We start from the raw sequence: 15,853 nt of genomic DNA on the forward strand, positions 1-15,853 counted from the left end.
AACAGCATGGGACTCCAGAAATTAAAATATCATTAAAAATTCTTTTAGTTTTCAAATAAAGCTATTTTTCATTTCAACAAATATTTTTGAATACCTGCAATATGTAAGGCGCTTTCAGAAGAACAGCCTTGCTCTAGAAAAACCTGAACATTAATCTTGCTAAACTGGTACTAAGCAGGTTGATATAATGTTATTGTGAAAGCAGATACTGAGAGATCTTTAATAATTTTTATTTCCCTTCCTATATGATTCAAGAAAATAAAGAATATGCAAATATGTTTTACTATTAGGAATGTTAAGAACCTGCCTATGAATAAACCCCATCTACTTTTTTCCAATGAAAATCAGCAAGAAACCAAAGAAAATTCTAAGTAAAAATGGTACAAAAATGTTAGACATTCCACAGTGATTATATTGTAAAATATAATCTTAAAACAATCTCACATTCCGCTCACATTCCGTTCATTTTAGCTGTTCTGATAAATAATTCATTGATAATGTAAGTCCAAATTAAGATACATTCTACAAAAATGACTGACCTACATGCTTCAAAAATATCAATGTCATCAAAGGCAAAGTGAGGCTCCAGATTAAAGGAGCCTAAAGACATCGCACAACTAAATGCAGTGTGTATTCTAGATCCAGGGTGAGGGCAGTATGTGAGGGATGCGCTATAAAAAACATTATTGGCCAGGCGCAGTGGCTCACGGCTGTAATTCCAGCACTTTGGGAAATGGAGGTGGGTGGATCACCTGAGGTCAGGAGTTCAAGACCAGCCTGACCAACATGGTGAAACCCCGTCTCTACTAAAAATATAAAAAAATTAACCGGGCGTGGTGGTAGGCACCTGTAATCCCAGCTACTCGGGAGGCTGGGGCAGGAGAATAATTTGAACCTGGGAGGTGGAGGTTGCAGTGAGCAGACACGGTGCCACTGCACTCTACCCTGGGCAACGGAGTGAGACTTCATCTAAAAAAAAAAAAAAAAAAAAAGGAGCAGCTGCGGAAGCCCAGACACCAGGAAGGTGAGATCTTCCACACAGAAAAAGAGAAATACGAGATTACAGAGCACAGTAGGATCAATCAGAAAGCTGTGGACTCACAAATTTTACCAAAAATCAAAGCTATTCCTTAGCTCCAGGGCTACCTGTGATCTGTGTTTGCCCTGACAAATGGAATTTATCCTTACAAATTGCTGTTCTAAATGTCTTAAGAAGAACCTAATTAAATAACTGATGACATTAAAAAAATCATGATGTCTTTAACTTCCTCCCAGAAGGACCAGCAAAAACAAACAAGTAAGTAAATAAATAAATAGATATTGAGAGAGAGAGGAAGGAAGGGGGAAGAAAGGAAAGGAGGGAAGAGGAGATAAGAAAATGATGTAAAATATTAACAGTTGGGGAATTTGGATGAAAGGTATATAGGGTGATATTCACTGCGTTAATGTTTTAACTTTTCTGTAGACTTGACAAATTTTACATTAAAAAGTTGAATGAAGAAAAAAGAATTCACCAGGATATCATTTGATAACTTCTAAATGTAATTTTTTTTGAGACAGGGTCTCGCTCTGTCACCTAGGCTGGAGTGCAGTGACATGATTTTGGCTCACTGCAACCTCCACCTTCTGGGTTCAAGAGTAGCTGAGATTACAGGCATCCGCCACCATGCCCGGCTATTTTTTGTATTTTCAGTAGAGAGGGGATTTCACCATGTCGGCCAGGCTGGTCTCGAACTCCTGACATTAAGCGATCCACCTGCCTCAGCCTCCTCAAGTACTGGGATTACAGGCGTGGGCCACCGCGCCCAACCCTAAATGTAAATTTTAGTCCCCTCTTTAAGGACTTTGCATTTAATTGAGGGGATGTGGGACAATCTAACCACAGCTAATGCGGAATATCATCTATTATACTCATAACCTAAGCACATTTAAGCAGTCAGAATTTTGCTCTAAGAACTGAAATGTGGAAAGGGAGAAGGCTAATGGTGAAATAGCACAGGAACTCAAACCCAGTCTCAAAAATTCATGCTGTCTCTAGTGAAAAAGCTAATTTCCTTTATTTATTTATGAGACGGAGTTTTGCTTTTCGCCCAGGATGGAGTGAAGTGGCGTGATCTTGGCTCACTGTAACCTCCGCCCCCCGCCCCACCCTGTTCAAGCAATTCTCCTGCCTCAGCCTCCTGAGTAGCTGGGATTACAGGTGCCCACCACCACATATGGCTAATTTTTGTATTTTTAGTAGAGAAGGGGTTTCGCCATGTTGGCCAGGCTGGTCTCGAACTCCTGACCTCAGGTGATCCACCTGCCTTGGCCTCCCAAAGTGCTAGGATTACAGGTGTAAGCCACTGCGCCCAGTGCTAATTTCCTTTATAATTGTACAGAAGATGCACACAGAATGCCATTTTAGTGGCAACGCCTTGAGAAAGTTCTAGAATGGAAGCAAGGGCCTATCTTCAAGGTAATCTTCACAAGGTTTAAGCTAATCTTGTACTTAAACACATATTAAAAATTACCTAAGTCCAACACACAATATTTTGGTAAAACATGATTAAACTAATAAGGCTGTCTGCAAGATACTGTCTGGTTACATTGCTCACCCTTGCGGTAATTGTGGCGATAGATGTGAAAGGCATACAGAAGTTCATAGTAATTGTGAGTCATAAGGTCCACAGCTCTAGCACGTGACTCAATTATTCCCACAACCTAGGGAAGGGGAAGCAATCAGATAACTAAGTCAGTAGCAATCATGGCAACCACCATACTTGTTGAAAGCCATCACTGGATAAGTAAAATTACCTCATTATGCAGATTCACATAGGGAAACTCTACAAGATCCTGTAGCTGTGAGCGTTCACAAAGAACTACCACCAACTGCCGTAAACAATCTAATTGCCTAGAAGGAAAGAAAGGAATATGAGGGCAAACTATCTTAGTAGGTTAAACAGAGTTGGTAAATTGTCTTCTCTAAAAAAGGCCATGAAATTACCTGCTGGAATCAGGAATTTGGGTTAAGGCTTCATATGCTTGGCTATTGTGACCCAAATCCAAATGATGTTTGAAAATACATGTCCTTAGAGTAGCCTAAATATCAAATGTAGATCAAATATCAAAAAGAGCAATAGAAATGAACATACCACACCCACAACAAACCTTAAAGAAAACAACCAAATTGCAGCCAATTCTTACCTGACTTTTCCAGTCATCACCTGCTTCAGTTATGGCTGATGTAGCCAACTGAATAACCAGTTCAGGCAAACCAATGACATCTAGTAGTCGTAAAACCTAACGAGAAATAGAAGAAATTTCCATTAAAATTAATATTGTAATGTACTTCAAACTCAATTATGGTTTAAAATTATTGAGAAAGGTTAAGTAGGCCGGCATGGTGGCTCACACCTCCAATCCCAGTACTCTGGGAGGCTGAAGCAGCAGGATTGCTCAAGGCCAGCCTGGGCAATATGGCAAGACCCCCATCTCTACAAAAAAATTTTTTTAAAAATTAGCTGCGTGTGGTGGCATGCGCCTGTAGTTGTAGCGACTTGGGAGGCTGAGGTGGAAAGACTGCTTGAACCCAGGAGTTCAAGGTTGCAGTGAACTTTAATCCTGCCACTGCATTTCAGCCTGGGTGGTATAGCACGACCCTGTCTCTATCCTCAGTGCCTAGTATACAGTAGTCTCTCCGTAAATACTTGTTGAGGCTGGGTCTGGTGGCTCACACCTGTCATTCTGACCAACACGGCGAGACCCCATCTCTATTATTAAAAAAAAAAAAAAAAAGCAAGCTTGTTGAATGAAAGAATAAATACGATTTCACTACTAACTGTTCAAGTCACAGATGAATGTAAAGAATAGTAAATAAACACCATAGTTTTATAAAAACCCTAAAGATAATTTACTAAATGACTGACATAATCCTTTTTTTTTTTGAGACAGGGTCTCTGTCAATCAGACTGGAGCACAATGGTGTGATCTCGGCTCACTGCAACCCCTACCTCCTGGGTTCAAGTGATTCTCCTGCCTCAGCCTCCTGTGTAGCTGGGATTACAGGCATGCCCCACCACGTTCAGCTAATTTTTGTGTTTTTAGTAGAGATGGGGTTTCACCATGGTGGTCAGAGTGGTTTTGATCCCCTGACCTCAGGTGATCTGCCTGCCTCAGCTTCCCAAAGTGCTAAGGTTACAGGCGTGAGCCACTGTGCCCGGCCTGACAAACATTTTTGATTGTCCACCCTGTCAACGTCTGCCCGCTACCCTAACCATGCACATTTCCCTATCTCATATACGTGCAATTCTCTAATACATATGTATGATACATCCAAAATACGCATTTATAAAGGATGAAGATAAAATAAAAAGTTTTAAAATTATTTTTATTAATTTTTTGAGACAGGGTCCTGCTCTGTTGCCCAGGCTGGAGTGCAGTGGCATGATCATAGCTCAGTGTAGCCTTGACCTCCTGGGCTCAAGTGAACATCCCATCTCAGCCACCTGAGCAGCTGGGACCACAGGCATGCACCACCATGCCCAGGTAATTTTTTAATTTTTTGTAGAGATGGGGTCTTCCTATGTTGTCTGGGCTAATCTCAAACTCCTAGGCTCCAGTGATCCTCCTGCCTTAGCCTCTCAAAGTGTTGGGATTACAGGCGTGAGCCACTGCACCCACTATAATGGACCTGGAAAATTCTTATCTTCTAGTGACATCATAGCCACCGCATGTATCGCTCACGTGTTTGTGGTGATGCTGGTGTAAACAAACCTACTGTGCTGCCAGTCATATAAAAAGTACAGCATGGCCAGGCACTGTGGCTCATGCCTATAATCCCAGCACTTTGGGAGGCCGAGGCAGGTGGATCACTAGAGGCCAGGAGTTCGAGACCAGCCTGGCCAACATGGTGAAACCCTGTCCCTACCAAAAATACAAAAATTAGTGGGGTGTGGTGGTGCACACCTGTAATCCCAGCTACCTGGGACACAGAGGCAGGAGAATCGCTTCAACCTGGTAGACGGAGGTTGCAGTGAGCCCAGATCGCACTACTGCACTGGGCAACAGACTCCGTCTCAAAAAAAAAAGGAAAAAAAAAAAAGTATAGTATATACGATTATATAAAGCACATAATACTTTTTTTTAATTTTGAGACAGGGTCTCATTCTGTCACCCAGGCTGTACTGGAATTCAAAAGAATTGTCATTAGTAGGAAAGTAGAGGGTTTTTTTCTTTTTTTTTTTTGAGGTGGAGTCTTGTTTTGTCATCCAGGCTGGAGTGCAGTGGCACGATCTCAGCTCACTGCAACCTCCGCCGCCTCCTGGGTTCAAGTGATTCTCCTGTCTCAGGCTCCTAAGTAGCTGGGATTACAGGCGCACACCACCACGCCCGGCTAATTTTTGTACTTTTAGTAGAGATGGGTTTCACCATGTTGGTCAGGCTGGTCTCGAACTACTGACCTCGTGATCCGCCCACCTCAGCCTCCCAAAGTGCTGGGATTACAGGTGTGAGCCATCGCGTCCGGCCAAGGGTTATTAAGAGCTACAAATCTACTTCAGTGTAAATTCATTTATCTAATAAGCAATTAACAAAACAGTGAAGACTGCTTCTGTGGCATTTACTTTCTGGTGGGAAATCCAGATAAATTCTAGTCTAAAATATAAAATCAAGTATGGTGAAATGTTATACAATCTGGAAGTGTGCACAACAGGATGAATAAAAAAGCTTTTCTGCACAGGCCAGGCAGAGGGCACTATCTGAGGAGGTGACAGATAAGCAGAGACCTGAATGGAATGAGGGTGTGAGGAAGGGCATTTCAGGCTGACAGAACAGCAGGCAGAAAGGCCCTAAGAGAATAGAGCATGCGCTTGACTTGAATGAGACAGTAAGAAGGTCACCATTGTTACAATGGAGTGACCAGAGGAAAGAGGGGCAGGAAACAGGTCAAGAGGACCCTCAAGTCCAAATTATAAACTAAGGCTAAATACAGCATTACTAGTCAATTCCCAGAAATATCAGCAAGACTAGTAAAGTGCAAATTAAATAATAAAATTCTAATGGCAACTGGGCTAATAAAATACCATGACGAAAATTTCATTTCAGTTAAAAGTATTTATTACATTTCACCATTTAACCCTAATTATAGATCCTGGGAAAAAATTTTAACTTAAAATATGTTTCTTTAATTTCTTTTTGTTTTTTTTTGGAGACGGAGTCTCGCTCTGTCACCCAGGCTAGAGTGCAGTGGCACGATCTTGGCTCACTACAACCTCCACCTCAAAGTTCAAGTGATTCTCCTGCCTCAGCCTCCCAAGTAGGTGGGATTACAGGCACCCGCCACCACGCCAGGCTAATTTTTGTATTTTTAGTAGAGGCAGGGTTTTGGCATGTTGGCCAGGCTGGTCTCAAACTCCTGACCTCAGGTGATCTGCCTGCTTTGGCCTCCCAAAGTGCTGGGATTACAGTCATGAGCCACCGTGCCCGGCCATGTTTCTTTAATTTCTCTAGGCAAATTCATTTTTTTTAAATTTGGAAGTTCAGGGAGCAACTGAATTTTTATAGTATTTTTCTCCAAAAATAGCAAAGCAATGTATTTCAGATGTGTTTTTACACAGGGTGGTATAAGGCCAAACCAAGACATGATGTACCTTGTCATAATACTGCAGCCTGGGGGTAGACACGATCTCCCCATCCTCTGAGCGAATCAAGCGATCCAAGAATTCCTCTTTGCCTACTTCAGATGCTGCCTGACAAAAACATTCCAGAGCCTGGAGAAATAAAATATAAAATGACTTGTAACAGATCATTCAAATTCTAGGTGCTATGAATCAGGGGTTCACATGTAAGGGAAAGCCAAAAAAGAAACAAGATTACTTAACATGGTCTACTCTATGTATAGTTTCTGACACATATGAATTCTATGTGATGCATTCATATTTTTAAAAATGTATCTCACACTTAAGTGCTACCAATTAAAAAGTAAACATTGGCCGGGTGGGGTGGCTCACGCCTGTAATCCCAGCACTTCGGGAGGCTGAGGCGGGTGGATCACGAGGTGAGGAGTTTGAGACCAGCCTGACCAACACGGTGAAACTCCATATCTACTAAAAACACAAAAATTAGCCGGGCGTGGTGGCGTGCACCTGTAATCCCAGCTACTCAGGAGGCTGAGGCAGCAGAATCGCCTGAACCTGGTGGGCGGAGGTTGCAGTGAGCTAAGATCATGCCACTGCAGTCTAGCCTTCCAGCCTGGGTGACAGAGCAAGACTGTCTCCAAAAAAAAAAGAAAGTAAACCTTAATAAGATGATTGACACATACATACATAATAAGGCAACTGTAGCAATATGTTAACAATTGTAGAATTTGAGTGATAGGTATATACTGTTCACTGTAAAAAGTCTTTAAACTTTCCTGTCTGTTTGAAAATTTATGTAATAGAACATCAGGGAAAAAATTAAAACTTTAAACTACATAACGAGAAAAAAGCAGCATAAAACAATAAAAAAAATGTAATTAATAAGTAAATTTGGGCTGTGTGCAGTGGCTCATGCCTGTAGTCCCAACACTTTGGGAGGCTGAGGTGGGCAGATCACTTGAGCCCAGGAGTTCGTGACCAGCCTGGGCAACATGGGAAAACCCCATCTCTACAAAAAATTAAAAAATTAGCCAGGAATGGTGGCTCACGCCTGTAGCCTCCAAGTACCTCAGCTACTTGAGAGGCTGAGGTAGGAGAATCACTTGAGCCCAGGAGGTTGAGGCAGCAGTGAGCTGTTGATTACACCACTGCACTCCAGTCTGGGTGACAGAGCAAGACCCTGTCTAAAAGAAATAATAAAATAAGTAAATAAGTTTGATTTATAAAAATGTATCCTGGCCAAACGCGGTGGCTTATGCCTGTAATCCCAGCACTGGGGGAGGCCAAGGTGGGAGGATCGCTTGAGTCCAGCCTGTGCAACATAGTGAGACCCTGATTTTACAAAATAATAATAATAATAATAATAATAATAATAATAATAAAAGGAATCTCTAAAAACACACAGGGGCAGGAGAGTTCTAATATTTTCTTATGTTCCTGAGTCCTATCTAAATTGCAGAATACAAGAAAGTAGTCCTTACATGTATATAATGCCTTTGACTGGCATTAGTACAGTCTTCTTTAACTTTATGTAGAGGATTCTATGTCTCCCATCCCCTAAAACCTAGTCAAATGGAAGCTAAGCAACTTCCTTGCGTTAAAGTTTATAAAGTTTATTTGCCATTCAAATGTAGTTTACCTTCTGTCCTTCTCCTGTAACTAGGTAACACCTTCCCAGCATAAATCGACAGGAACCAACATTGACTTGACACCAGGGATGTAGCAGTTGAATATAATCCTTAAAGGCATAAAAGGTGCTTTCTGATTAGAAAATAAATGTTACTTAAGGAGATACTCATTCCCAAGTTATTCGTCACAGAGGATGAAAAGACAGTGTTTGAACAAATGTTTTATTTCCTGACATAATTCTGATATTAAAACCTACCCCTGTTGCCTTCCTTCTTCATCCATTCCCCCTTTCCTTACACAAACAGGAGTCCAGTAACACACATACACATACTTTACATCTCAGCAATTTTCCAATTTTTGGTATTTATTGGTTCAATGACTAGATTCCAGTAAAGGATTTATATGAAAACAATAGTACATTTGAATTACTATGAAGAAAACCTAGCAGAGACAAATTCTTAAAAAGACACTCTAGAGGCCAGGCACGGTGGCTCATGCCTGTAATCCCAGCACTCTGGGGAGACGGGTGGATCACCTGAGGTCAGGAGTTCGAGACCAGCCTCGCCAACATAGTGAAACCCAGTCACTACTAAAAATACAAAAATTAGCTGGGCGCGGTGGCACGTGCCTGTAATCCCAGCTACTCGGGAGGCTGAGACAGGAGAATTGCTTGAACCCAGGAGGTGGAGGCTGCAGTGAGCCAAGATCATGCCACTGCACTCCAGCCTGGGCAACAGAGTGAGACTCCGTTTCAGGAAAAAAAAAAAAAGATACTCTAGAAAAAATCACGTTAGGAATTATACTGTCCAGAGAGAAGTAGAGAAAAATCTCTCTCTTTAAAAATTTATTTTATTACTTTCTTTAAAAGCCTTTAGAACCAGGTATTCTCTCAGCCAAGTACTAACCATGCCCAACCCTATTTAGCTTCGTAGATCAGACAAAATCAAGCAAGTTCAGGATGGTATAGAAATAGAGAACAATCTCTTTGGGGTATGTCTTCACATAATCAAGTTTAAATTATTGTGGTTCTTTAAAATGCAGTTAACATTTACAAAGAAAAAAATTCAGCAATCCCATGCTTTACAAGAATGTGTAGACATGAAATGTTCAAAGGAACTCACCTGCAATTGTACATATTGGCAATTTCCCATCAAACATTCTAGAAAGAGACAACCAGGATTGCTAGGCCATCTAGTCATTGGTTAAGGATATTTCTTAATTTTTGTTGGCAAATCTTAAACATATACATTGGGCATCAAATTCAGAAAAGTCCATAAAATAGCTTAATTTACATAAACAAGGCAGAGAAGTTGGCCAACCACATGTTCTTTCATCATCACTAGAATACAGTTAAACAGTTACTTTTATACCAGGAGACTTGTTATAGTGCTTAGAACTCAGATAACTATGGAATAAAGCATCTATTTCACCAGGCACGGTGGCTCACTCCTGCAATCCCTGTACTTTGGAAGGGTAAGGTGGGAGGACTGCTTGAGCCCAGGAAATCAAGACCAGCCTGGGCAACACATAAGAGTCCTGTCTCTAAAAATAAATAAATTTTTAAAAGCCTGTATTTCATTCCTGGGTGTTCATTTTCAATTCCAGCTGGTGTACCGCAGAACACAGTATTGGTGCCAGTGGACATCCAGCACATAACATGGTACCTGGCATATAGAGTCATTCAATAAATATTTGTTGAATGAATGTCTTTTTTTTTTTTGAGACAGAGTCTCACTCTGTCGCCAGGGCTGGAGTGCAGGGGCATGATCTCAGCTCACTGCAACCTCTGCCTCCAAGGTTCAAGTGATTCTCCTCCCTCAGCCTCCTGAGTAGCTGGGACTACAGACGCATGCCACCAAGCCCAGCTAATTTTAGTATTTTTTTGTAGAGGCGAGGTTTCACCATGTTGGTCAGGCTGGTCTTGAACTGCTGGCCTCAAGTGATCTGCCCGCCTTGGCCTCCCAAAGTGCTGGGATTATAGGCATGAGCCATTGCAGCACCCAGCCAAATGAATAATGTCTTTTTTTTTTTTTTTGAGACGGAGTCTCACTCTGTTGCCCAGACTGGAGTGCAGTGGCGCAATCTCGGCTCACTGCAAGCTCCGCCTCCTGGGTTCATGCCATTCTCCTGCCTCAGCTTCCAAGTAGCTGGGACTACAGGCGCCTGCCACCATGCCTGGCTAATTTTTTTTTGTATTTTTAGTAGAGACAGGGTTTCACCGTGTTGTCCAGGATGGTCTCGATCTCCTGACCTCGTGATCTGCCCGCTTCTGCCTCCCAAAGTACTGGGATTACAGGCGTGAGCCACTGCGCCTGGCCGAATAATGTCTTAAAACAGACCTAGGTATTTCATTACATAGGCAGAATAAGAACCTTAGACTATTTAGATAGAAGAGAGCTGCTTTTTTTTTTGAGAAGGAGTCTTGCTCTGCCGCCTAGGCTGGAGTGTGGTGGCGCGAGCTTGGCTCACTGCAACCTCCACCTCCCAAGTTCAAGCAAGTCTCAGCCTTCCGAGTAGCTGGGATTACAGGTGCAGGCCACCACGCCTGACTAATTTTTGTATTTTTAGTAGAGGTGGGGTTTCACCATGTTGGCCAGGCTGGTCTCGAACTTCTGGCCATAAGTGATAAACCTGCCTCCACCTCCCAAAGTGCTGGGATTACAGGTGTGAGCCAACATGCCCGGCCAGAAGAGAGCTTTTCACTGGCTTCTAAATAAAAGGATACAAAAGCTGCAATAAATAACTGGTAATTGCAGTAATCATTTCAGGCCAATTCAATCCAGTTTGGCTCAGAGGTGCCTTTGGCTGAGAGAAGAGGTGAGATATAATGTGTTTTCTTGCAACTTCTTGGAAGAATAACTCCACAATAGTCTGAGGACTAGATACTTAAAAAGAAAAAGTTATGACAGTTTTGTGTAGTGGTAATTATCAATTTTCAATTAAAATAGTCTATCAATTCATTTTATGCTTGTAACAAACAATTTAGCACTTCAAAACAGAAAATGTATCACGGGTATATATCCAGTGGCAATATAAATAAAAGTAGTCTGTAAATTGTGAGGCACTATAAAAATGCAATAAAAACACCATTCACATCAAAGTTATAGTCATTTCTTTTCACTGATCTCACAAGACTTAAGTGCCTTCCCTAGAAATTCTTCATGATAAATACAATTAGCCCCAGGATTTCAACTTTTATACCAGAACAATACAAAATAAATTCTCCAGAATAATGGTTTTCAAACATGAGGGATACTTTTAAATATCTGTTGACTAAGATTACAAAAGTTACCATGAACGAATAAATTTTTAAATGATTTTGTTAATCACTGGAGCATCAAAACAGAATGGGAAAGCAGCTATACACACACACACACACACACACACACACACACACACACACACACACACACACACACACACACATATATATACCATATCCTTAACATATGCCTGATCTGGTACTACAGTTTCACAGACCCCATGCCACAAACGGAGATCTCAGGCCACAGCTTACTCATGCCTTCTGAAAGCAAAGAGCCTAGCCAACCTTTCTATGGCAAAGGTGGCAAAAGACCACTTTAATGAATATGCAATAAATCCCCAGTTTAAAATGAAATGTGTACATAGTCCACTCCTTACCAAACCTATTTGCCATTAAAGCACCAGAGTCTGTTAATTCCAGTACTGATAAGTGTTGGAGATTAGACTCCCTGTGAGAAAAGGGGAAAAGACAGCTTAGTAAATTCTCCTATGCTAAACATTACTTCTACAAGCTCTTCTACGAAGAACACTGTCAATTTAATTAATAAATTGCACATAAAAGCTCCACTGAAAGCACAAAAAAAATTGGAAATCATTATAATATAGATTGTTGCCCATAATATCACTTCGTGACCCTTCAATGAGGAGCCAGAGCAAACAGGATGGTTTATCTTATTGAAAATGTGAATCTCGGCGGGGTGTGGTGGCTCATGCCTGTAATCCCAGCACTATGGGAGGCTGAGGCGGGTGGATCACCTGAGGTCAGGAGTTCAAGACCAGCCTGGCCAACATGGTGAAACGCCACCTCTACTAAAAATACCAAAAATTAGCCAGGTGTGATGGCAGGCGCCTCTAAACTCAGCTACTCTGGAAGCTGAGGCAGCAATATTGTTTGAATCAGGGAGGTGGAGGTTGCAGTGAGCCGAGATCGCACCATTGCACTCCAGCATGGGCAACAAGAGCGAAACTCCATCTCCAAGAAAAAAAAAAAAGTGAATCTTGTAATTCTTGGATTTGGCTATAAAGAAGCTCAGCCTACCTAAAGTAACAAGCGTAACATTTTGTGTATGGTCTTTCCTTCTGGTTTCATCGTATTTTATATTCAACATAATTTATATGTACACACAAACGTGTAGTACATAAGTATAATACATAATTTATTTGTACACATACATACAGTCTATGATTACATGTGACTTATTTTCATTCTTATAAGTTGCCTTCAACCTGTAACAAATAAAGGCACCAAAAAGCTCTCTGAATCTTAATGGCATATAATTTTACGGCATCCTGTTAAAAATCTTTTTCCCGGCTGGCGTGGTGGCCCACGCCTGTAATCCCAGCACTTTGGGAGGCCAAGGCAGGCAAATCACCTGAGGTCAGGAGTTTGAGACCAGCCTGGCCAACATGGTGAAACCCCATCTCTACAAAAGTACAAAATTAGCTGGGCATGATGGCAGGTGCCTGAAATCTCAGCTACTTGGGAGGCTGAGGCAGAAGAATCACTTGAACCTGGGAGGCGGAGGTTGCAGTGAGCCGAGATCATGCCATTGCACTCCGGCCTGGGTGAGAGAGAGCGAGACTCTGTCTCAAAACAAAAACAAAAACAAAAACAAAACACTAAAACTTTTTCCCTTTAAGACAAGGGGAAAAATAATTAAACTCACAATTTACATTTTAAATAATTGGGATAATGAAACTCACAGTGTGTCAAGTGGAACATCAGTTGCCAAGCACTCACTTCCCCATTTAATGAGGTAATAAGATAAGAGTAGGGGAGCTGTTCGATGTAGTAGGTCTTGCTGAGCTTGAAAGAGCTGACCAGTTCCCCAAATCACCTATACATTATGGGTAGGTGGACCAGACAAGAAATTATAGCAATTAGTAATGGTAACTCTTACGGCTCAGGTGGAGGTAAAATAAAATAACAAATACAAAGGTCACAATACTGTAAAAGCAACACGTTTTACATTTTACGGTAGCAAGTGGCAAAATATCTTCCCAAACATTAACAGTCAAAAAATAATCAAAAACAGCTCACCAAGTAACGGAAGCTCATGATGAAAAGAAACCAACAATAAAAAGCTTAACTTTCATTAAATCTGTGGGTTCAGAATTAAAGAAGAGGGCCAGGCACAGTGGCTCACACCTGTAATCCCAGCACTTTGGGAGGCTGAAGCAGGCAGATCACTTGACCCAAAATTTCGAGACCAGACTGGACAACACAGTGAAACCCCGTCTGTAGTAAAAATTACAAAAATTAGCCAGGCATGGTGGTGGGCGCCTGTATTCCCAACTATTTGGGAGGCTGAGGCAGGAGAATCGCTTGAACCCAGGAGGCGGATGTTGCAGTGAGCTGAGATCGCGCCACTGCACTCCAGCCTGGGTGACAGAGCAAGACTCCGTCTTAAAAAAGAAAAAAAAAAATTAGCCTGAGTGGTGGTATGTGCCTGTAGTCCCAGGTACTCAGGAAGCTGAACTGAGCCCAGGAAATCAAGGCTGCAGTGGGCCGAGATTGAGCCACTGCACTTCAGCCTGGGCACAACAGAAGTGAGAACTTGTCTCAAAAAAAAAAAAAAAAAAAAGAATTGAAGAGACACAGGGAAATCTAAATTCTCTCATATACTGCTGGTGCTGGGTAAAAAAACAGGTATGACCATTATTATAAGCAAATTTGGCAGTACTACCAAAAGCCTTAAAATGTGCATTACCTGTAGACCAAATTCTAGTTTTTAGAACTTATTCTAGAGATATAATTAAAGATGTACAGAAAGTGGCCAGGCACGGTGGTTGACACCTGTAATCCCAGCACTTTGTGAGGCTGAGGCAGGCAGATCACTTGAGGCCAGGAGTTCGAGACCAGTCTGGCCAATATGGCGAAACCCCATCTCTATTAAAAATATAAAAATTAGCTGGTGTAGTGGTGCGCATCTGTAATCCCAGCTACCTGGGAGGCTGAGATATGAGAATTTCTTGAACCCAGGAGGCGGAGGTTGCAGATTGCACCACTGCACTCCAGCCTGGGCTACAGAGCAAGACTCTCAAAAAAAAAAAAAAAAAAAAAAAAGATGTGCGGAAAATTATGGACATAAAGGAAAAACTGGCAACAAAAAGAAAAATGTTGAGATTTATAAAGTGGAAGAACAGAACAACCAGATTACAAAAAATACTATGTAGTTTATTTAAATTTCACAAACAAACCAAAAAGAATGTGCATGGAAAAAAACGTATATAGCAAAATTTAAGTAGTAATCACTGGGTAGAAAATTATAAATTTTTTAAATTTTTGCTTATATATATTTTGTAAAGGTTCTACAATGAATATCTTATTACTTCTGTGTTCAGAAAAATTGACAAAAGTTATAATTTAAAAAACAAAAAACCTGAAAAAAATGGAAGAATCTACATAGATCAAAAAGAACTTAGTAAAGGCTAACCAACCTAACAGACTTTCAGGAAAGGTTCATTTTTCAACTTGGTGATCTTAAACAAATTATCTTCCCAATTTTTTTTTTCTTTTTTTTGAGATAGGGTCTCACTCTGTCATGCAGGCAGAAGTGCAATGGCGCAATCACAGCTCACTGCAGCCTCAACCTCCCAGGCTCAGGTAATTCTCCCATCTCAGCCTCCCAAGTAGCAAGGACTACAGGCTTGCTGCACCATGCCCGGCTAATTTTTGTATTTTTTTGTAGAGATGAGGGTTTGCCCAGACTGGTCTCAAACTTCTAGGCTCAAGCAACCAGGCCACCTTGGCCTCCCAAAGTGCTGGGACTATAGGTATGAGCCACCACATCTGGCCTTTTTCTTACTCTTGCTTGAAATTCTACCATTAGCGATGTATCTGGGTTTATAATTTCTTTTTTTTTTTTTTTGGAGACAGAATCTCGCTCTGTCACACACGCTGGAGTGCAGTGGTGCAATCTTGCCTCACTGCAAACTCTGCCTCCTGGGTTCAAGTAATTCTCATGCCTTAGCCTCCTGAATGGCTGGGATTACAGGAGTGTGCCACCAGACCCCGCTAACTTTTTTGTTTTAATAGACATGGAGTTTGGCCATGTTGGCCAGGCTGGTCTCGAACTCCTGGCCTCAAGTGATCTGCCCACCTCAGCCTCGCAAAGTGCTGGGATTACAGGTGTGAGCCACTGTGCCCAGCCTGAGTTAATACATTCTGACTTAAAATGTATAAGTACATTTATACATTTTAAGTCAGAATTAAAATGGGAGCCCCAAAGGACTTTTGGCTATTTACACATTAATATGAATTGGTTTAATTAGATTCCTTCTTTGACAGGCTCAAATGAGATTACTGACTTAGAAAAAAATGGGATGTCTGACTGTGGGGA

At 41.4% G+C, this 15,853-nt stretch overlaps 1 protein-coding gene and 1 pseudogene across 2 annotated transcripts in view; both read right to left on the bottom strand.

Moving 5' to 3' along the window:
* The window catches only part of NUP160 (nucleoporin 160), a 70,427-nt gene that overhangs the window by 17,064 nt on the left and 37,510 nt on the right, over positions 1-15,853 (bottom strand). For both annotated transcript variants that reach the window (NR_134636.3, NM_015231.3), the window contains exons 18-27: positions 13,215-13,348; positions 11,889-11,959; positions 10,972-11,131; positions 9,368-9,437; positions 8,257-8,355; positions 6,630-6,749; positions 3,187-3,282; positions 2,987-3,081; positions 2,797-2,893; positions 2,598-2,703 (exon numbers count right to left, since the gene is read on the bottom strand). Coding sequence is in view for 1 of the 2 variants with exons in the window: in NM_015231.3 (NP_056046.2) it covers positions 2,598-2,703; positions 2,797-2,893; positions 2,987-3,081; positions 3,187-3,282; positions 6,630-6,749; positions 8,257-8,355; positions 9,368-9,437; positions 10,972-11,131; positions 11,889-11,959; positions 13,215-13,348 (1,048 nt within the window). In the remaining variant the exon portion in view is untranslated. The remainder of the gene's footprint in view (positions 1-2,597; positions 2,704-2,796; positions 2,894-2,986; positions 3,082-3,186; positions 3,283-6,629; positions 6,750-8,256; positions 8,356-9,367; positions 9,438-10,971; positions 11,132-11,888; positions 11,960-13,214; positions 13,349-15,853) is intronic.
* RNA5SP340 (RNA, 5S ribosomal pseudogene 340) lies at positions 9,115-9,221 on the bottom strand (annotated as a pseudogene).

The sequence above is a fragment of the Homo sapiens genome, chromosome 11 (genome assembly GCF_000001405.40).
Source record: "Homo sapiens chromosome 11, GRCh38.p14 Primary Assembly".
NCBI classification, from domain to species: Eukaryota; Metazoa; Chordata; class Mammalia; order Primates; family Hominidae; genus Homo; species Homo sapiens.